The sequence below is a fragment of the Homo sapiens genome, chromosome 6 (genome assembly GCF_000001405.40).
Source record: "Homo sapiens chromosome 6, GRCh38.p14 Primary Assembly".
NCBI lineage: Eukaryota > Metazoa > Chordata > Mammalia > Primates > Hominidae > Homo > Homo sapiens.
The window spans coordinates 148,190,170-148,212,821 of NC_000006.12; the positions used below are offsets into that span (position 1 = coordinate 148,190,170).

General features: G+C 43.0%; 1 protein-coding gene across 2 annotated transcripts in view; it reads left to right on the top strand.

Annotated features, from left to right (window-relative positions):
* SASH1 (SAM and SH3 domain containing 1) overlaps nucleotides 3,299–22,652 on the top strand; it is a 358,577-nt gene continuing 339,223 nt past the window's right edge. For both annotated transcript variants that reach the window (XM_017010599.2, XM_024446384.2), the window contains exon 1: nucleotides 3,299–3,456. In XM_017010599.2, coding sequence (XP_016866088.1) covers nucleotides 3,412–3,456 — 45 coding nt within the window. In that variant the 5' untranslated portion in view covers nucleotides 3,299–3,411. The remainder of the gene's footprint in view (nucleotides 3,457–22,652) is intronic.

Below are 22,652 nucleotides of genomic sequence, written 5' to 3' on the forward strand. Positions count from 1 at the left end.
CTTTGTGGAGGCTGTGAATCCCAGTCCCATCACTTCTCTTCCTGTGACATCCCTTAAGTCTTCCTTCCTAGGGTCTTCTGCCTCCCAGAAGAAAGCCGGGGAGCCATGCTTCTCTACGACCTTTGCACCTCGCCCTCCTCCTAGACCAGGGGAAGTGTTTTCCTACATGAAAGCACCACCACACCCACCATGGCTTGTTTCACAGAGACATTCTTTCCTCAAATTCCATCTCCCCTTTGGAAATCAGGCTTTTAGAAAACACCAGGAAGCCTTGCACGCTAGGTCTGTTTTCTACCATACTAAGGCGCGGAGGCATGGAGAGACATAGGAAAAGGAGAAAAATACACAGAAGGAGAAAAAGGGGGAAAAACTCTAAATTAAAACCTCCGAACCCTGTTGCTAATATGTATGGTAGTGATAAACATAGCACTTTGCATTCCTCAGGAGCATCTAGCCTGCTCTTCAAGAAATTGAATCAACATCGGGCAAAGAGAAGAAACTTGGGGTTTCTTTTTTTATTTTATTTTATTTTTTTTTTTTTGAGACGGAGTCTCACTCTATTGCCAGGCTGGAGTGCAATGGCACGATCTCGGCTCACTGCAGCCTCTGCCTCCTGGTTCAAGCAATTCCCCTGCCTCAGCCTCCCAAGTAGTTGGGACTACAGGCATGGGCCGCCACGCCCGGCTAATTTTTTTTTGTATTTTAGTAGAGACGGGGTTTCACCGTGTTGACCAAGATGGTCTCAATCTCCTGACCTTCTGATCCACCCGACTTGGCCTCCCAAAGTGCTGGGATTACAGATGTGAGCCACCACACCCAGCCAAACTTTGGGTTTTCAATGCCTTGGTTTTGTAAGAAAGGGGCAGGAAGGTTAAAGGTTCATTTTCAAGGCACCACTGACTCACCCTTTACAGATTGCTCTTAAAATCATTTTAATTTGTTAGAAAATGTAAATTGATTTTGCATCCTTTTTCCTGTAAATTGTCTGCACACAAGTAAAAGTCACTAATACTCAAAAAGACTTTTTTTTTTTTTTTTTTTTGAGATGAAGTCTTGCTCTGTTGCCCAGGCTGGAGTGCAAATGGCACTATCTTGGCTCACAGCAACCTCTGTCTCCTGGGTTCAAGCGATTCTCCTGTCTCAGCCTCCCAAGTAGCTGGGAGTACAGGCGGATGCCACCATGCCTGGCTATTTTTTTTTTTTTGTATTTTTGTGGAGATGGGGTTTCACCATGTTGGCCAGGCTGGTTTCGAACTCCTGACCTCAAGTGATCCACCCGCCTCGGCCTCCCAAAGTGCTGGGATTACAAGCGTGAGCCACAGTGCCTGGCCTAAAAAACTTCAATAACTCTCTCTGGAAAAGAATCAGTATTTACCTGTAGAGCCACTTTTGTGCTCCAATGACCTTAGCTGAGTTCGTCATAGGCCACATGGGCTAAGCTGGTGTCCCTCAATTTAGTAAAACACAGTCTATAAAATCCCACACTTGTAAAACACTCATTTGGCAAGTGGTTTTGCAAAAGTTGTAAAAGCTTACAAGTGGATATGCCAGGGATTCCTTTAAGTATCAAGATGTCCTTGAGTTTTCCAAAAATATGACTCAATTTAGAATCATGGAGGTATTGTAGCTTTTCAAAAGTATATCTTTGTAAAAGTACATGTGCCTGTACTCAGTGAAATGAATGTTAAGCCAGATAGAACATGAGATTTCACCAATAGGAAAGAAGAAAACTCCCTGCCAGACCTAAATAGTTGTTTCACCTATTTGGAAGAGTTGCAGAGTATGCAAAAGTGACTCAGCAAGTCACAGACACCAGCACAGAGGTGGACTCGGTTATGAGGCAGGACTCGTACAACAGGTTCTGAAGGCCCAGAGGTTAATGAAGTGGTTAAGCTAAGGGTAGCCCTCCCCAGGCTCCTGAGGAAGGAAAGTCAACAAGGACTTTTAGATATCTCCCCAGCAAAATCATATATTTCCTCTTGAAAAGTTACTGTTTTTTGACCAGGTTTGCATTCTTCTGGGTCTCTTGGTTTGTAAATAATTGTTTTCGTGCATTTAAGCAGTTAATCTGGCAAAGCTAATACTAATTTGACATAGCCAGGGACTAGAGAAAATGCAGTAGACATAACTGTTTTCCTGGGTAAAATTTTATAAAACTAAACATTTTAGAAAGCCCTACTCATGTGTAGATGTGGGAGGGATGGACTCTCCCTGCAGGAGAAAAACTGTCCAAGTGGTGAATTCCACATTGGAACAATATGATGTTGGCTTCTGATTTTCCACTCCAGGCTTTGGAGGTAAAGCTCAGCATTTGACCGCAGTTATGTTGTGCTACAAAGGGCCAGTACACAGTAAGGCCTGTGGACTTAGGAACTGGCAAAGGAAGGGAGATGTGGTTAGAACACTCAGGAGAAGGGTTATTAAAGGGTAAAAGCAGTTTTTGCATTTGAGTTTTTCTTTTCTTCATAACCTTTCGCAATTTCATTGGATCCAAATGTCCGAGAAACGTTCATTGAAAGTGTAAAGTCCACAGAAAGAAAGGACCAGAATTCTTCCAGGTCTCTCCCATCAGGCTTCATCTGGGTTCTACCTTTCCATTTTTGTTCCACTTGCAGGAATGGTGGGTAGGAGCGTTAGACTTCTCTGTTTATAAGAATGTTTCTTTTGAGTATCATTAATCAGCACGGATGAAGATGAGTTGTGCCTGAGATGATAACCACAGATCCAGCTCTCAAGGATATTTTGAGGACGTTCTATCTTCTCCTGCCTCTTTTCAGAAAAAAGTGAGAATATTATAAGCACCTATATTTTTATATGGCTGTTTAAAATCCTAATTGACCTGTTCTAACAAAGTAGCACGGAGCATGAATCACTTGGTAGCCAACTTTGGTTAATTTTGCCTGCAGGATTGCCAGAAGTTGCCTTCCTGAGCTTGCACTTCTACTTGCATTCCAGGTGTCCATTCTTGTGTACCGAACACACCTTAAAGTGAGCTGAGAGATTTATAATTACTAGAGTCAAAAAAAAATGCCAGAAGGAAACGTCACCACCCACTGAAGGATTATTGTTGGCATGATGACTGAGGCGTGGCGCCTGTGCACATGGCAGTGTCAGTTGCCTTGTCATAAGTGGCAGTAATGCTAGGGGATACTTTTCTTCTTTGATTTATATTATTATCTTCTTGAATGAGACATATCTCGATTTTGAATCATAACTGTGAGAAATGCCCACACCCTTCTTACCTCCACATATGTAAATTCCATTTCTCCCAAGACTCCCAGCTATGAGAGAATGCAACAGTCAATATTATGAAAGTGGCTTGGCTAAAATGTTTGCTTCCCTGTGCTCAGTCACTTGAGCAGCACAAGTGACACATTTGACAAGGCAGAACAAGAAATTTATCCCTTCACTATGGAGCATTTTACAAGGGAAGCTGAGTTTTGGAGCAAACTAATGGTAAGTTGAATAAAGTGTTTAAATATCAAGGACATCATGCTGGGCATTTTCCTTGTGGCTTTTTATAAAATAAGATGAAAGGGGAATTTATAATCAAAGGATTGTACTCTTGCTTATTACTTTAAGTGAAACGTGCCTTCTACATATCAAATTTTGTTAGTGATAAATGGCTTTGAATGAATTGTTTGGCAGGAACTTTTTCTAATTCTATTGATGAAGAATACTAACAGCTATGGGCATGTAAGGCTTTATGACTTTGTGGAAGCAATATGGTTCACTAGTGGAAAGGAATTATTCTAAGGTAGATTTTTAACATAAATGAAGCATTTCTTGGAACTCTGTGTTGGATTTTTACTTTTGGTTTTCTTTAACTGTACCTCTTTTAAGATTTTCTCTAAGGTGTGTATACATAAACATGATCAGAAGGGTGTAATAAAGGAGGATTCTAATGTCTAAGACTAACCTTTGTGATTTCTGAACTGAACATATTCGTACCTGCCATTTTCCCTTTATGTGACCAAGAACTGCTGAGTTTACTTTAGATGACTTGGTACAGTCTTGAATGCATCAAAGAATGCAGAGATTCCCTGACTTTGGTGATTCTAGATGATCATGTCATTTTATAGTGGAGTAAACTGAAGTCCCTCTATCCAAACAACCCATAGTCTGGCTACAAGATCACAGACCCCACCCCCCATTCCAGTGGGTTTTTTGTTTTTAGTTATCCTTCACTGTCTCATAGCATAAAATTTCATTTTGTTTTCTCCTTTCTAATGTAAATTTCAGCTTCATTGGAAATAGAAAATTCTGTTGCAAACAGGTAATTTTTAGATTGGATGGTATAACAAATTATCTTTTCGTGGCAACGATGTGACTCATCTGTCTTTTCCCTGGCAGTATGACCTATACTACCATCTTTTATGACACTAAGTTTATTCTGTGAGCATACTGAAACATTGGTTTCTAAAGTAGTCACTTCTATTCATTAAAGAATGTTCAGGTCCAGGTGCGGTGGCTCGTGCCTGTAATCCCAGCACTTTGGGAGGCCAAGGCGGGAGGATCACGAGGTCAGGAGATCGAGACCATCCTGGTTAACACGGTGAAACCCCGTCTCTACTAAAAATACTAAAAATTAGCCGGTTGTGGGGCGGGCTCCTGTAGTCCCAGCTACTCGGGAGGCTGAGGCAGGAAAATGGCGTGAACCTAGGAGGCGGAGCTGGCAGTGAGCCGAGATCGCGCCACTGCACTCCAGCCTGGGCGACAGAGCGAGACTCCGTCTCAAAACAAAACAAAAAAAGAATGTTCAGTATCTCTGATGTCTTAAATTATAATGCTATATCTGAGCTGGTAAGCCATTCTGTGTGATGTCTTTGGAGAAAGGAGGGTAAAAAAATGTATTATTATTTCTAAACATAACTAAAAAGCACAATTTTTAGATCAATATTCAAACATTTAATACATTTACTTTTGTTTATCCAATTATTTCACTCGTTTACTTAGCAAGCACATCAATATATTGTATTCTGGAAACTCAATCATTTCTATGCTCTTACAATACTTAGGTTTTTTTAAATGTCTTTATTTTTATTAAGAGTTCATTTTGACAAACTATAGAAAAATTAAAAAGGTTTTTTCTGCATGTCCTCCAGGCAGAGAGGAACATCTGTGCTCCAAGGAGCTGGGAGCTGATGTAGCAGCAGGCTCTGACTGGCTCCAGAGTCCTAAACCTATGGGGACTGGGCAGAGGCCGATGCTCAGGAAATACACAAAGGACTGAGACGTAGGCATTGGTCCTGTCCACCCAGAACTGCTCAAGGAGTTTTCCAAATCAGATAGTCACATGAGAGAACTATCGGACTTATAAGCAGCTACCATGCAAATTCAAGGTAGCCTCTTGTTTTGTTAAATCATGGTTGTCCAAACTGCCATTTTGAAAATTCTCCCCTCATTTTGAAACTCTCTTTCACCCCGGCTCCAGCACTGCCACTACATGTGTCACCAGTTCCCCTGGCAGGTGGGTGGTGGCTTCCCGTGAGAGAGCTAAGTCAGCAGCCCCAGAAGGTGCCTCGGGGAGCTGGTGGCAACTCATTAGCCTCTCTTACGCGCCTTTTAGTCTGTGTCATGGACAGATTACCTGCCAGCACAGACACCCAGTGACAGGCACAGCCCAGGGCAGGAGGGACTGCAATTTACTATGAACCAATGGCTACTCAACCTGTGTGAACCAACAGAAATGGATTTTGGAGGGCCTGGTATATTTCCACAGTGGCTTTCTATCATAATTAATGCACCCAACCTCTCCTGTGGTCAGCAGGTTGTTATCTGAACTGTGTAGATTGTGAGACATAGAGATTTAATAACAGGCTTGGTGCTCTCTGGTTAATGAGTGGGCTGGGAGTGAGAAATCTAAGGCTCTGGTGATTTCCTACAGAATGTTGGACATTGTCTCTCAGCCTTCTCCACCAGGAGGATCAGAGTGGTTCTTCCATCAAGAGTTCTCTCATCATTTTTTGCTCTTAGTGCATCTGAGTTCTTGAATGTCTTCACTCTTGCAGAATATTGGAGTCACTTAGAAGTTCACTTTCATGTCAGACATAACTGGATCATGCTTCTCTCAAAGAGGATAATAGTAACCCCTGGGAGCTCAAATTCAGAAGCTTGCCTCCAAGTGCAGCTTTAAGTCTCAAGGCTATGTGCTGGTCCAGGACAGTTGGTAGATTAGGTCTCCCCTTGCATACAACCCAGTGAAACAATTCAACCTAGCACAGCTTCAACAAGCACGAACCATATATGAAAGTGCAGGTAGCAGAGGGCATGATGGCCATGCATGATTATTTGGGGAAAGTGGACAGTGGTAACTCTCTGCATAGTCCTGTCTGATCATCTCCTCCCAAGAGACCCCAGCCATCTTTCTTTGCCACCATCCTCTTTCTCCCAGTGAGCTCATCTGAATACCTGCCTCATTGAAGCATCAGGCAAGTGCTCATCGAGCCCAGCCTCTATGACTAAATCCGCTGTTTCTATGGAGAATACAGAGGAAGAAGACGTGATCTTGACTCAGGAAGGTCAAAATATAATTGTGAGATAAGACAAACATCCATGAAACAATTAGAGAACAGAATAATATATAATTGAGTGGCAGACGGCATGGTTCAGAAATTAAGTGGAATAGCAAGTCTGAAGTCAGGGAAGTCTGTGAGGCCCAGAAGAGTCAAAGAAGGTTTCATGATGGAAATTGATGGATAGAATTTGGAAAGGAGAGGGATAGGCATCCAGATGAAGGAGATGATGGTGTCGAGTAAATGCTGGGAGGCAGAAACGCCTCTGGTGACAGGATACTGCTGAGTGATTGAACAGGAAATGGATGTGAGGGACTGGGGAAAGATAGAGAATGGAGCAGATCCTGGAGAGTCTTGAAGACCAAACAGAGGATCTTAGACTGGGTAGGACATGGGAGTCGTGGAAGGAGTCAGAACAGTAGAATGGCTTGATAAAGGCAGCATTTAGGGAAAATGAGTCTGGCAAGGTAGATTGGATTCTGAAGATTCTAGAGGCTGGTAAGAAAGCTATTGTTACAGGACCTACACATGAGATGGCAGTGGTCCCAGACCAGTGTGGTACAAGTGGAGTAAGGAGAAAAACATATCTTTAAGGAAAAACATGAAACACCAGTCAGCTGACAGGATTATGTAGGATACAAACTACATCAAGTCAGCACCTAATGGATATCTTCTGCAGACAACAGTCTATTTTTGCTCAGGATAAGAGAGAAGTCTAATTATTTTCCATAGATTTATTCCTAAGACTAGCAAACTTGTCTCATACTTCCCTCCCTGTCCCTTGAGTTAACCAAGTCCTTTCTAGAAAATTCTCCAGGTATCAGTCCCCATCCTGAGAGTTCAGGCCAAAATTTCTCTTGCAGGCCACCCTCCTGCCACCTGGAGCATTCTGCTCCCTCAAAGCTTCTCCTTCCTCACAGCTGGACTCATGCTCCTGAGGGTCATTTTCCTAGGATCTGTTCCTCAGCTACTGTTTGATGAACAGGAAACATTTTTCCTCTTTCTTCCTCACTGACCAATATGGTTTGGCTCTGTGTCCCCACCTGAGTCTTATCTCTAATTGTAATCCCCATGTATCGAGGGAGGTAGGTGATTGGATCATAGGGTGGTTTTCCTCATGCTGTTCCCCTGATAATGAGTGAGTTCTCACAAGATCTGGTGGGTTTTGTTTTTGTTTTGTTTTGAGATGGAGTCTGGCTCTGTCACCCAGGCTGGAGTGCAGTGGTGCTATCTCGGCTCACTGCAACCTCCGCCTCCCATGTTCTAGTGAGTCTCCTGCCTCAGCATCCAGAGTAGCTGGAATTATAGCTGCCCAACACCACGCCTGGCTCATTGTTGTATTTTTAGTAGAAACAGGGCTTCACCAAGTTGGCCAAGCTGGTCTCACACTCCTAACCTCAAGTGATTGGCCCACCTCAGCCTCCCAAAGTGCTGCAATCACAGGCATGAGCTGCCGTGCCTGTCTGATGGTTTTATAGGGCATTCTTCCCCTTCACTCACTCCCCTCTCTTGTTGCCATGTGAAGAAGGTCCTTGCCTCTCCTTTGCCTTCCGCCATGATTGTAAGTTTCCTGAGTTCTCCCCAGCCATGTGAAACTGTGAGTCAATTAAACTTCTTTCCTTTATAAATGATCCAGTCTTGAATATTTCTTTCTAGCAGTGTGAAAATGGACTAATATCCTGACTTAGTTTTATTTCTAGTTTGTGGGCTTCTCCCATCTCTCCCTTCTGTCTTTATTGATATTGAGGTAGCCGCCCACTGATATTTGGCTACTTGGCAGCATACTTCAGGTCAAGATGATTAACTTTTCTAGGCATGTACATAGTTATATTTGACATAAATAAAGTGTGTGCTACATACAGGAAAAAGAGGTATCCAGTCCATCTGATGTTTTGAAAGGGGAAGCAAGCCACCACAACTGGAACACAAATGATGAAAATCAAGATGTTGTATGTTTAGACTGACAGGTCTTAGACAGGTTTCAGGAGAAATTTTGAATCACAGAAGGCAAGAACTCTAAAGCATCATCAACATGTTCTGTTTGACCTACATATGGTTTTTATAATTGTTGTTGTTTTATTTACATTTTTAGCAAATATTTAAAATTAAGACATTTTCACATAATAATCCAGGGACAGTTTTGTTTTGTTTTGTTTTGTTTGAAACAGAATCAAAAGATGACAATTATCAGCTAGTGCTGAGTATAGCTGTCCCCTGTAGACAGGGCAAGTATTCTCCTCCTTACCTACCTTTTGAGTACTTATCGGGGCCTGTGAATATTTCAGCTGTGACCCCTGATTTAACTAATCCCTCATTTTACAAAGAAGGGAGATTGAGGCAAAGAGAAGTTAAATGACTTTTTCAGTATTTCCCAAGAGGCTGATATCAGTACGGGGATGAGAACTGAGCTTTGCTGGCCAGTCGTGGTGGCTCACACCTGTAATCCCAGCACTTTGAGAGGCCAAGGCAGGCGGATCACCTGAGGTCAGGAGTTCGAGACCAGCTTGGCCAACATGGCAAAACACTGTCTCTACTAAAAATACAAAAATTAACTGAGTATGGTGGTGGGTGCCCAGCTACTCAGGAGGCTGAGCAGGAGAATCACTTGAACCCGAGAGGCAGAGGTTGCAGTGAGTTGAAATCTTGCCATTGCACTCCAGCCTGGGCAACAGTGCAAGACTCCGTCTCAAGAAAAAAAAAAAAAAAACTGAGCTTGGCTATAAGGCCTCACTCCCTTTTCTCTCCTTTTAAGGACTGTAGTTGTTTCTCAAATACAGGATCCAAAAGGTTGGTAATTGGGGCCAGGAGTTTGAAACCAGCCTGAGCAATATAGTGAGACCCCATCTCTATAAAAAGTTTAAAAATTAACTAGATGTGATGGTGCACACCTGTAATTCCAGCTATTCGGCAGGCGGAGGCAGGAGGACTGCTTCAGTCCGGGAGTTAGAGCTGTGATGAACTCTGAGCATACCACTGCACTCCAGCCTGGGTGACAGAGCAAGACTTTGTCTTGGGAAAAAGAAAAGAGAAAGAAAGGAAGGGAGAGTGAGAGAGAGAGGAGAAAGAAAGAGAGAAAAAGGAAGAAAAAGAAAGGAAGGAAGGAAGGAGAGAGAGAGAGAAAGAAAAAGAGAGAGAGAAGGAGGAAAGAAAGAAAAGAAAAGGAAAGGAAAGGAAAGAAAAGAGAAGGCAACCTGGAGAAAGGCAAAGACCAGCATGTGTGAAGATGCTCATCAGTCAAAACTGATATTCTGAATATCAACTGAGGGATATTGAATAGGTCACCCTGAGAGCCAGAATCTGAGAAAACCCGGAATAGTAGTATTTCTCATCTGCGACCCTTGATGGAATTGTATTTTAAGTGATTGCACTGGCTGCTTACAATGCCAAGACGGAACATACTTCAGAATTAGCTTTTTCCTTTGATTATACTTTGTTGGGTTAAAAAATAAAAAAGTGGACTTGCAAATATAGCAGTTGTGACTACAGCATTTTAAGCATTTGTATTGAAGATGTCCCAAATTTCTAAATGAAAGTTACTAATAAAAAATATTCATGTATATTTTCCTGTTCACTTTCCTCTCCTAACCTCATTTTGTGTCTTTAGAACTCTAGCCTGAAACATTGGTTCAGCTAGTCTGTCTTGAATATGTTAAAATGACATTGGTTGTTGGCTAGAAGCTCAAGGCTGCGCTGCCTCCCACAGACAGCAGTGCTGTGATCTCTGCAGCTCACAGAGCGAGCGGGAGGGGGCCGCGATCATCTGCTTATCATTATTGATGTGGCTTCGGCGACCTCTGCTGTGTTTCTGTCCAGTGTGATTCTGGATGCAATTCAGAAAACACCTGCTGAAATCCTGGCAAGAGATCCAAGTGCGTGCCAAGGCGAGGTGATTGGTGTGGCTCTTGAACAATGTGAAGGTCAACCTCTTGGCTCTCCTTTAGTAGTTATTTTAATGAAAGAATTCTTTACTGAGTGAATTTGAACAGACCTCGCACAGGCTGGCATTTCTACTTTTTGCATAGTAACACTCAAAATAGCCTTTTGTCTAAAGTGGAAGAAGGATGGAGATTTTACAGGGCATTTACAATTGAAGGACAGACATAGAAGAGAGATTCTCTGTGTTCTTTGAAATATAGGGAAGCTTTAAAATTAATTTTTGATCTTTCCTTTCACTACTCCACCCGTGTCCTCCTCAAAGAAATTATACCTCTGTGACTGCTTTCTTTTATTCTGGGGAAACTTTCTTCCTCCTCCTCAAGCTCTTAGAACTTTTGGCTGATGTGACAAGATCACTTCCTCTCCACTGGTGAGGAAGTTTCAGCCCTATCACTTATGCTGTTGTATTCAATATAGAGTCTACATTTCCATCTACCACGTAAATATGTGAGCTGTAAATGAGAGATAAAAACACCATAGAGATATTTGACTCTTAGAGTGATAGTAGAAGGTTACTGTACATAAAATGGTCATTTGACCTTGGACCACACTGACGTAATAATATTAATGATGACACGATCATAATAATTAACATGTATGGCAAATTTAGCATGTGCTAGAAACTGTGCTAGGTATTATCTAATTTTGTCTGCATAATGCCCCTGTGTTCCTCTAAATGGGTTAAGTTTTAGTTTTAGGGAGTGAAATTTAAGAGGGATACAGGCAAACCAAAGTACATTGCCATCCGGGGTGGGACCAACTGAATAGAGCAGTGATTCTCAAGCTTGTCCCTGCAGTGGAATCTCCTGGAAGGCCGATTAAAACCCAGATTGCTGGGCCCACCACTGTGCATCTCCCCCCAGAGTTTCTGATTCAGTGGCCTAGGGTGGGACCCCCAAATTTGCATTTTTCTAAGTTGCCAGGCAATGCCGATACTGCTGATCTCGGGGCACACTTTGAGAATTGCTGTCCTAGAGCTCAAAACCGTATCACCCATGGAACAGCTGCAGTAATCCAGAATGCTTTCCTTAGAGAAGAGACTGCTCTGGGGTGCCCAGAAGGCTCCTGGGGCCTGTCGAAGACCTGGAGGGTGTTCGTGATACCAAGGATCTGAACCAGGACCAGTGGAAGTGACATTGAGACAAACAGCCTGAGAATAAAGGAGAACAGATGGAGTGGGTCCTGCCAGGGGAGGCCACAAAAATAAAAGATATGGGGATGTGCTTGAACATAAAGGGTGGTGGGTTGCTGAGCAGGGATTGTGTACTTGTGGCCCTGAGGCTGGACACAGCCTGCAGATGTTCTCCAGTGGGAATGCACAAGGCTGTGAGGCATTTTAGCTTGAATGCTATTGAAGGTGTATATCCACCAGTTCACCCGGTCCATATTATCTCTTAGCCCCCACCGAGTCACCCACTTATACTTATCAGCCTGACCACATGTGGTCCTGGAGCTGAAGGGTGTACATGCAGCAGGGTGGTCAAGCAATAGGCAAATGCTGGATTCAGTTTTTTTTTTAATTATCTGTTATTTGAACTCCAAAGAATGAAAGTCAGGATGCTAGGTGAATTGTTCGCTTGTAGGTAGTAAACCTGCAATTGTATGCCAAAAGAGAGGACCCACTAAAAACTACTCTACAATGGAAGCCAACTCTAACATTGCCTGCAAGGACAGAACTTCCTAGTGTGCCTTTCTCAGTAGGGCACAGCGCTGGTTCCACGTTAAAAGAGCTGACCCACAGGGCCCACATAGCGAAAAGACATCCAAGGACTGCAGCTGGACTCATCCTTTCCATCTCCTCCTGCACACATCACCCCAGGTCTGCCCTCCCTGAGCCCTGGTGGGCTGGTCTACCCTGCTAGGAGACAGGAGGGCTGCCGGGAGGCTGGAAAACTAGGCAAGAAGTCTTGGAAGGCAATGACCAAGGCTTAGCAGGAAGAGAGATAAAGAAGGAGGGTTTAGGATTGATTACAAAATGTCTGGCACCAAGAGTGGAAGATTCTTGTGAAGAAAAGCTTATTATAGGAATTTCTGGGGAAAGAAAGAATATAAGGTGAGGAGCAGTGGCTCATGCCTATAATCCCAGCACTTTGGGAGGCCGAGGCAGGCAGATCACCTGAGTCAGGAGTTCCAGACCAGCCTGGCCAACGTGGCGAAATTCTGTCTCTACTAAAAATACAAGAACTAGGCAGGCATGGTGGCATGTGCCTGTAATCTCAGCTACTCAGGAGGCTGAGGCACAAGAATCGCTTGAACCCGGTAGGCAGAGGTTGCAGTGAGCAGAGATTGTGCCATTACACTCCAGCCTATGCAACAGAGCAAGGCTGTGTCAAAAAAAAAACAAAAACAAAAAACAGAAAAGAAAGAATATAGAAAAATTGAAATGACAGCAAGAAGTAACAAGACCAAATTAAGAAAAATTTAGAAATGGGAAATCTGGATACATTGTTATGAGAACTATATTGACTTGACTGTGATGGACTCTTTGTCCTTGAAACATTCCAAATAAAATCAGAGAAAGAGCTGGAAGTATGCTTCAGAAGAATCTTTCACTGATGTGTCTAAATGGCCTGATTCCATCTTTTCCATCTTTGCCTTCTAGTTTTGGTCACCAGGTATTTGGCATTATAATTCCCAGGCCAACACACTGCTGTCACCATTATGAGAATTCTGGGGTGGAGGGACAGTGATTTTCCCCTTCCTTACCTCGTGTCTTCATTCACTCTCTTCCTCTTCCTTCTTTTCCATCCTCCCGTCTTCTCTCCCTCCCTTCCTTTCTGTTTCTCCTTTATCACATTAAATGCAGCTGACTACAAATAAGGAAAGGAAAACTTGGGGAACGCTGTGGTGTGGGTTTCTTCCAATAATAACCTTGGCAGGTAATTTTTGCATATACAGACTGAGTCATTTTCTTATAACTGAGATCAGGGGCTGGATTTCTCCCAGGAGAAAAAACACTTATATTAACGTGTTTATGTTTTGGAATAATAATATTTGTCCATGTGAAAATATGTGTGAGTCCTTTCTGCCACACCATCTGGCGTATAACTATTCATAATCCAAACAGTAGCAGCTGCTGCAGAGCACGAGGATGAGTTTTCTTGAAGTAAAAATGGGCTAACTATTGGATGCCACACGTAGCTTTCACAGCATCACCGGTTACTCACCAGAAACCTACATAGCAGTCCCTTCCATTAATCCATTAGGTTCTTTATTAATATCACAAAAGCTCACTTTGCTATCTTCTTCCATTCCATCCAGTAGAGAAACTCTATCGTTTAACCTTACTCTCAACCTGTGGCCCTTGTACCTTGGGAACATGCATGTGTTTTACCCAAAACTGTTGGCAACTGAAGGTGTCAGTTTGGGTTTTGTTGACTGATGACAGCTGCCAGAAAAATTGCCGGGAATTTTTGCTGCAGTTCTCCACTGCGGCTTCCTACACTGCTGAACCACATTCATTATGTGTTTGTGGCTAATCAGACACATGGGGACACAGCAGCAGTTGATGAATCCCTCTCGGGCCGCTCGGCAAGGCTCTGATGTAATGGAAAGTGTAGGGTAACGCTTTCTACAGATCATTTGAATGCGGTTTGCAGAAACCCTTGAGGTTTAAGAAGGAAGTGGTTTGCGGAATAGGTGCTGGATGCTACTGTATAGAAACCACCACAATCGACAGTACAAAAGAGACCAATTTCACAGGGGAGAATTATCTGCAAGACTTTTTTCATTGCATAGTCATTCTGAGTCTCCCCCAAAAGTTGGAGGTTTTTGAAAGATAAAATTCTTGGCTGGGTGCAGTGGCTCACATCTGTAATCCCAGCACTTTGGGAGGCCAAGACAGGCAGATCTCCTGAGGTCAGGAGTTCAAGACCAGCCTGGCCAATGTAGTGAAACCCCATTTCTACTAAAAATACAAAAATTAGCCAGGCATGGTGGCAGGCACCTGTAATCCTAGCTACTCAGGAGGCTGAGGTAGGAGAATCGCTTGAACCCAGGAGGTGGAGGTTGCAGTGAGCCAAGAACATGCCATTGCACTCCAGACTGGGCAACGAGAGTGAAACTGCTTCTCAAAAACAAAAATACAAACAAAAAAAACTGTTTATGCTGATTCTACACATCACTATAGTAAGTATCCAGACCATTTAGTAAAAAAAAAAAGTCCTAACCGAATGCCCCAAAACTTGTGCCCCAAATGAAAGTATATAAAATTGCTTTAATTTTCAACACTTCAGTTGGTTGAATCATAATAATACCTTACATTTGCATGAGCTATCATGGTCCTCAGGGTGTTTTCACATATGTTTTTAGTAATTAAGACTTTTTTCCGAGAAGGCTGTCAGGTGACCCACATCAATGAGCATTCAGGAGATTGGGGTATTATCTCTGTCCAGCGTGCTTTGTCCTGTTCTCCTCACAATGGGTATCGCTAATTTCCAACTTGTATCAGTCATCTTCAAGCAGTCATTTGTCTTTTCAGATGTCTATTGGTCAGTCCTTTAAGTACCTGCTGCTTTTATCACCAGTTATAATGGGGCGATTTATCAATGTCATTCGCCTCGCTCGGCAACAAGAGAGCAACTATGAGATCTTATAGAAGTGGTCCGCATACCTGGCCTTTAACCACTCTCCTTCGACTTGAAATGGTTCTTATACCTCTGTCGTCCCAGAACTTGTCAAGAGGTCTCGGGTCAGCCTTAACTGGGCCTTGCGCTTGGTTGCCCATCAGCCTTTGCCTTCAGGGTGCATTAGATAATTTTTTCATAAACTTCTTTTTTCCAAAAGCAATATCTGCCAGCATTCCCAAGTCCCTTTTTGTATTTAGGGGTTGCATTATGTGTGTCTCTGGTTCTCACTTCTGTGTTTCTTATCATCATAATTGGCCTGACTCAGGCCAAGTAGGTGTTTGTCTCTATACCCCTATAATGTCAGTGCTAAGTAGTCCTAATAGGTCTTCCTAATAGAGGATGCCCTAAATCCTGCCCTTCCCAACCTTGCCTTTCCCTAGTCCCCAGAAGAACTTCACCTTGAAGACTCAGCTCTGACCACCACTCCCCAATCAATTCTGACCAACAGGTAGTCATCACAAAAGTGGAGACTAATCCAACTATCCTAACCCTGCTGTCTGGTGGGCCTGGACTGAACCCTGGGCACCCTGTCTGCTGACCTGCCCTGAGCCTGTGCCATACTTAGCAGATAAGCACACATGGAGCATTGCTCTCTGATTGTACTGATGCCCTCCTGCTCAAATCCAGCATCTCCACCCCTACCCACTGTGGGTGCAGCTGAGCGAGCTCTATCCTTTTGCATTCCATTGCCTCAGAGGTTCCTTCCCGGTTTGCCTAGGAATAGGCTGCCTTATGATTTTCATGGGCTTTAGGCACTTTTGCCTTCAAGAACCCCTTCCTCTGTAAAAATATATATATAGAAAGTTGCACTTTACAAATGTCAGCATAAAGATAAATAATTAAAAGATTTTCTTTGCCATTTATTTTTTTCCTGACTTAATCTATTAAAGAGAAAATGTATTAATACATTTTCATGGGCCCTTGCTGTATTGTCATTAACCTACTAAGCCTAGAAACATGCCAGCTGTCAGTGCTATGCCTAGAGCACCTGATGGAGAAGTCAGCCCCACCTAGAAACATACCTTCATAATGGATCTTGTTGCCTTAAATCAGGGTTTCTCAAAGCTCAGTCTTTTGCAAATCATATGAAACTTTATCCCATATTGCATTTCACTAGTACTAGTTTTCATCTAATATTTTTCTTCAAATTTACTTCCTTTGAAATTTTGATAGCTGTATATTTAAGAAATGTAATGTCACTAGCATAAAGCCAATATAACTTGCCATAAATAGAAAATTTACATTAATACAAATTAACAGGCCAGGTGCAGTGGCTCACGCCTGTAATCCCAGCACTTTAGGAGGCCAAGGCAGGTGGACCACCCGAAGTCAGGAGTTTGAGACCAACCTGGCCAACATGGTGAAACCCCATCTCTACTAAAAATACAAAAATTTGCCAGGGGTGATGGTAGGTGCCTGAAATACCAGCTACTCAGGAGGCTGAGACAGGAGAATCGCTTAAACCTGGGAGGTGGAGGTTGCAGTGAGCCAAGACCGTGCCACTCCACTCCAGCCTAAGCAACAGAGTGAGACTCCATCTCAAAGCACACACACACACACACACACACACACACACACACACAAATTAACATAAATACATTATGCATTAAAAAACATTCAGCTTGTTCATGTTCCACCCAGCTCCAGGCATTTTGCTGTCCTCAGCCTTGTCCTCTAGTGTTCCCTGTGGAGTTAATAATTGGGTCAATCCCTAGCACAAATGTGCCCCCTCTGTTCAAAGTTTTTTATTTGCTCACTGTCTACCCACTGACACCCGGCCCCTCTCCAGGCTACTGCTCCAAAATGGATGAGCCAACCAGACCTTCCCAACCAAATTAAGCATTGGCAAAGCATCCCATTACATTGGGTTTTCCTGGGAACAGCACTATCTGTCCCACCCTGATTTTCCATGTCCTCCAGAGCAGCACTGTCCCCTGGCCCCTCCCATGCTGATGGAAATGTCCAGTCTCTGCATTTGCCAGCGCAGTATACCCAATAGGAGCAGTAACTACTGAGCATTTGTAATGTGCCAGTGTGACTTAGGAACTAAATTCTTCCTTTTATTTCATTTTAAATCATTTAAATGTAAACTCTATAGACTCATGTGGCTAGTGGCTACCACACTGAACGGGGCAGCTCTGGATGCTGTGAGTTAGACTGATGACTGTCCTCTTAGTTTCTAGATCTCCATCCCGAACAGTTCTAAAATTATTTCCCTTTCCCTCAGTTCTATTATGCCACACAGCCAAGCTTATTAGTGAAATGATGATACTTAAGCTGTTATTAGTTGTTTACACTTTAGTGTGAAAGAAGGCCCTGGGAGGAGGTATGACAGAAGGACACACAAAGAGAATACGGGAGCCCCATGTGCTGCCTTGAGATGTTGGGATGGCGCAGACACAGACAGAATGAAGAGATGGATTCATTTGCCCCTGCTTTTCAGTTATGCAAGAATACCCAACATCTAAACTGTATTAATATTTTATTTCCTGAACATTCTCCTCTTTGTCCCTTTTAAAACATTTGTGAGTCAGAGTCAAGATTCAGGTTCAGTGTAAGCCGTCTGCTCAGTCATTTGTCATTTACCTGCTAAGCTCAGAAACTGTGCTTGAGCTGGCTTGAGTCCCCAGACTTTAGTATTCAAGTCTGTGAATCTGATGGTATTGAATTAAATTCATGACAAAACCTGGCGCTCTCTCATCAGTCCAGTGAGGCCTCAGAGACCATGACTGCATTTAAGCAGACCTTTAAGGATCACAGCAATGGCACACATTTGTGGAGCACACACGTGGATGACCACCCATCCATTCCTGCCCCACCTCTTCCTGCTTCCTCATCAGCTGAGCCCCCGTTTGGTGTGGTGCCCAGCCTCTTCTGGGAGACCATAAGCTCAGGACGGCAACATGATATGGAGCTCGCGAGATGGGTTGGTAAAACTGATTAAGCCAATCATGGAATTTCTCTTCTCTAGCCACTTAATGATTTTGGAAGAGGAACATGACCTAATGCTGGCCAGTGCGATGCTAAGGGAAGTCTACTAAAGGACTATTCGGAAAACATTCCTACTGATAAAAAGAGATGCATAGGACATGATCCTTCTCCCTCCATTGGCATTGTTGGGTTCACAATGAAGTCAGAAACTACAGCAGCCATTTGTCACCCTTGAAGTACAGGCACGACCTCTGGATGGTGGACAGGAAGAGGGGACAGGGTCCTTAACAGCATAGCAGAACTGTTATTGTGAAATAATAAACCTCCTAGGAGGTTAAGCCATTTTGGATTTTTCTTTGCTTAGCAGCTGACATCATTATTATTGATAAAAGTGTAATAAATCATGGCATTTCTGTTGCGTCTCACTTGACTTAAACTTTTGCTTCCCTGCCCCCAGAAAATGAACAGGGGATAGGTTTAGCTTTTTCTTGTTTTGTGAATTGGAGAAACTGTCTTTTCTGACACTGTTTGTTATTTTACTTCTGGAATGCCTTTCTATATAAATCAAATAGGCCAAACTTTGCCTATTTCTTCATCTTTGACATGGGAATAAAGGACCAAACAACTACTCTTTCAACTATATAGAAACTGACTGAATACGGTTACTAATAAGAATAAATCCTAAATGACAAATTCTAAATAGCAGTAATAAGATGTGGCCATTTGCTATAATACCTTTAATTACAAATATAAAATACCGTTTTATTTGCATCTTTAAAAATAAGGCCTTTTTCTGCTGGGCATCGATATTGAACACTTATTTAGTAGGCACAATTCTACTTCCATTGTGCAAAAGGCACAAATAGTAGCTTTCGCCCCAAAGCAAAAACCCTTCAGGGAATCTGTCTCCACTAATGCATGTATTGATACACATGCATATTTCCCATTAATACTAATAGAACTTAATGTGCCTTTATAAATCACCTGAATTTTGATTCAGTGTGAATCTGATGCCAGATGATTCAAGATGAAATGACAAAATATATTTGTCTGGCAGCTATTCCGTAATACACCTTCATCATAGCTGAATTCCTGTCCTGTGACTGAAATATTAATCAAAAGCTGTTTCTTCTTGCTCTCATCTCCCACATACTGCCTCTTGCCATCAGAAGAGATGAAGCAGACTCATCTATGTGACTGCGTACCTCTACTCAGGCAAAATTTAACGTTCTATTGAATAAAATAAAGAGGGAATGAACAGAGAAGAGAAATTCATAGGGGTTTTTCTTCTTGTGGGAAGAAGTATGTGGGGCTTGGTTAAATCAAGTGTACATCTGTTCTTGAGTCCTGGAAGAAATGCTGGGCCACACAGGCCAAGTGTGAGCAATTTACACATCTTTATTCCCCTCTTTGTCCTCACCCGTTGTCAGCTGTACCAAGCATCTTACCTCTCTATATCTCAAGCCTCCGGAATAACAGATTTTGTATCCAGCATCCATGTACTCTCTGGGAGAAATGCATTTTAGCACCTCTCAGAATGGTGAAGGGCTCCTCAACCCGTATGCCTCCCCTCTTTCAAGCTTGGCTGTTCCGGTTGCATCTAACTTCAGCTTCTTTTCCTCTCTGATCTTTCCCCTGTCTTACTAGGATTCTAGTCATAGTGATCACTCTTGGAGACTGTCTTTGGTTTTACTCTGTTATAGGCAAAAAAGAAAGAGTGTGCTCTAAGACAAATGAAACACATACACACAGTGTATTTTTTTTCCCCAATGTGTCTTCCAGAGATAGCAAAATTAAACATCAGACAGAAAGGAAAACATAGATTGTAAGCAAAAGCCCTACATAATTTTCGTTTATGGCTTGACCACATATTGAAATTATGAAACATCAGCACTGAAAAGGGCCTTTGGCAGTATATTACAGTAATGCTCCACCCAAGAGCTATGACTTTTCACAGTGGCCAAGCCAACTGTGTCACCAGGATGTTTCACACAACGTGGTAAAGACTGCTGATGCCCCTTTTACAGATAAAGGAACTGAGATTAATTGAAAATGCTGCAAAAACAGACCAGGCATGGTGGCTCACACCTGTAATTCCAGCACTTTGGGAGGCCAAGGTAGGCGGATTACCTGAGGTCAGGAGTTCAAGACCAGCCTGACTAACAACATGGGGAAACCCTGTCTCTACTAAAAAAATACAAAAACTAGCCGGACATGGTGGCACATGCCTATAATCCCAGCTACTTGGGAGGCTGAGGCAGGAGAATTGCTTGGACCCAGGAGGTGGAGGTTGCAGTGAGCCAAGATCGCGCCATTGCACTCCAGCCTGGGCAACAGAGCAAGACTCTGTCTCAAATAAATAAATACTTCAAAAAACTATATCATTGCTGTCTATATTAATGAGTTACAAGTCATTTGGTTTTTTCTCTGTTCCAAGAGAGTTGGGGAATAATTAAATACAGAGCTGCTTGAATGGCTTTTAAATCCAAAGTGTCTTAATTCCCAAAACCTATGTGACACCCTGGATGAATCTTGAGGTCTACAAAGCCTTTCAGAGTTAGTTTGGTCATTATAATCTGCTTGAACCCAAGGGAATGTTAGGATTAATTGAGCTCTAATTACTAGTAGTTGAAGATTTGTGACAAAGGTATAGAATTGTAGTAGATCTTCAAATATTGCTCTAAATAGACATATTTTTTCTGAAGTAGAACACTTTTCATGTTGGTTATTGGGATGTGTTGCTCAGTGTATAAAATTTAAAGTTCTGTTAAAAAAGAAAACATTGTTGAGTGGAAGAGCTTGTAACAGTCTAACTCTGTTATCCATATCCAAGGGAAATATGGTTATTTGGATTATGAAACTATGGCCCAGCCATCCTCAACCTTGTGGCCTCTTATCGAATTGTGGATATCAGATTTAGGAGCAACTAAAGATATGCTACCTACCTCAGAAACAATTACATTCATCCAGTGATTCATTCAACAGTTTATTACCTGTCTGCTGTGGTCCAGACCCTGTGCTAGGAATAAATACAAAGAGAAGACAGGTTCCTACTCTTTGTGGGTCTCCTGGGTTGGCAAAGAAAAGCCTTTTGAAGGGCTCTAAAAGAGGCTGGGCACGGTGGCTCATGGCTGTAATCCCAGCACTTTGGGAGGCCAAGGCGAGGGGATCACCTGAGGTCAGGAGTTCAAGACCAGCCTGGCCAACATTGTGAAACCCCATCTCTACTAATAATATAAAAATTATCCAGGTGTGGTGGCACGTGCCTGTAATCCCAGCTACTTGGGAGGCTGAGACAGGAGAATTGCTGGAACGTGGGAGGTGGAGGTTACAGTGAGCCAAGATTGTGCCACTGCACTCCAGCCTGGGCTATACAGCAAGACGCCATCTCAAAGGGAAAAAAAAAAAAAGCACTAAAGGAAGGTACCAGTTATTTATTGGGGCATTTATATAGGTTAGTCCCTATTTCATAGCTGAGGCCCAGAAAATTTAAAGTAACATGCCCAAGTTCACACAGTATGTGACAGAGCTAGAAATGAAGCCCCTGTGTGTCTCATCATGCTCTTTCCACTACACCAGTGATACACTGCATGATCCCCACAGCCAGGTGCCATGATGTGGGTGGCCTGTGACGGCTGCTCCCTGTCGTGACTGCCACCATGCGCTGGAAGCATCTGTTATATGGATGCTGGAACCCCCACGTTCCTTCTTTCAGGACACTCTAGAATAGGGAAGAGAAGCCAGGAGTGCTGGCCTCAAGAGGATTTGCTGCGTCATTGTCAAGCCACCTGGAAGCCGCTCTCGGGCATACTTGGGTGGGACTGAGGAATGTCCCCTCTCAGCTTCAGGAAAAGAGTGTTCTTCTAGCCAGTGAACCAACCAGCGTCACTGGGAGACACTTTGATAGCTCCCCGAGGGTACACTGGGCAGCAGACAGTCCTGGAATAGTGGAGCTGTCGCCAGAAGGGTTGCCCAGGGAATTGGGAGTTTAGGAGAACCGGGAGAAGAGGGAAATCATCTTCACCCAGAGCATCAGCAGGCAGGAAAGAGGAGCCACCAGATTAAGCAGGACACTGTGCAAAATGAGCATGAAGGTAGGAGAAATACACCCAGGAAGCAGGTACAGCCATGGGGCAGCACTGATGCCAAGAGATGGGGAATATGGGGACAGGCCAAGGTTGGTGTCTCAACAGTGATTAAGAATTAGGACCTTGGGGGCTGAAGAAAGTAGGATTCAACCAACAATTGTTGACAAAAGACATCTTAATTGCTTCTTCTCAAAGTCCAAGATGCTCTGAAAGCTGAACATTTTTAGTGGCAAAACCAGTCCTGAATTGACGTAAGGCTGTCTGTAATCTTCATTCCTCTCTCTTAATGTGACTATTCTTACCATTTTGCTACAGAAATACGTGTATATCTGATTATGGATGATGCGGGTGGTATTATATGATAGAGAAGATAAGAATAGAATTACATGTGTGGAACTGCAAAGCCTGAATTTCTAAACACATCTATTCTCAAGGGTTTCTGACAGGGGACTGTGTGTCATGCACTCACTTCCTCATTATCTCATTTAATCCCCACAAGAATCTTGAGAGGAAGGTTTGTTTCCCTCATTTTGTAGAAGAAAAAAGTAATATAG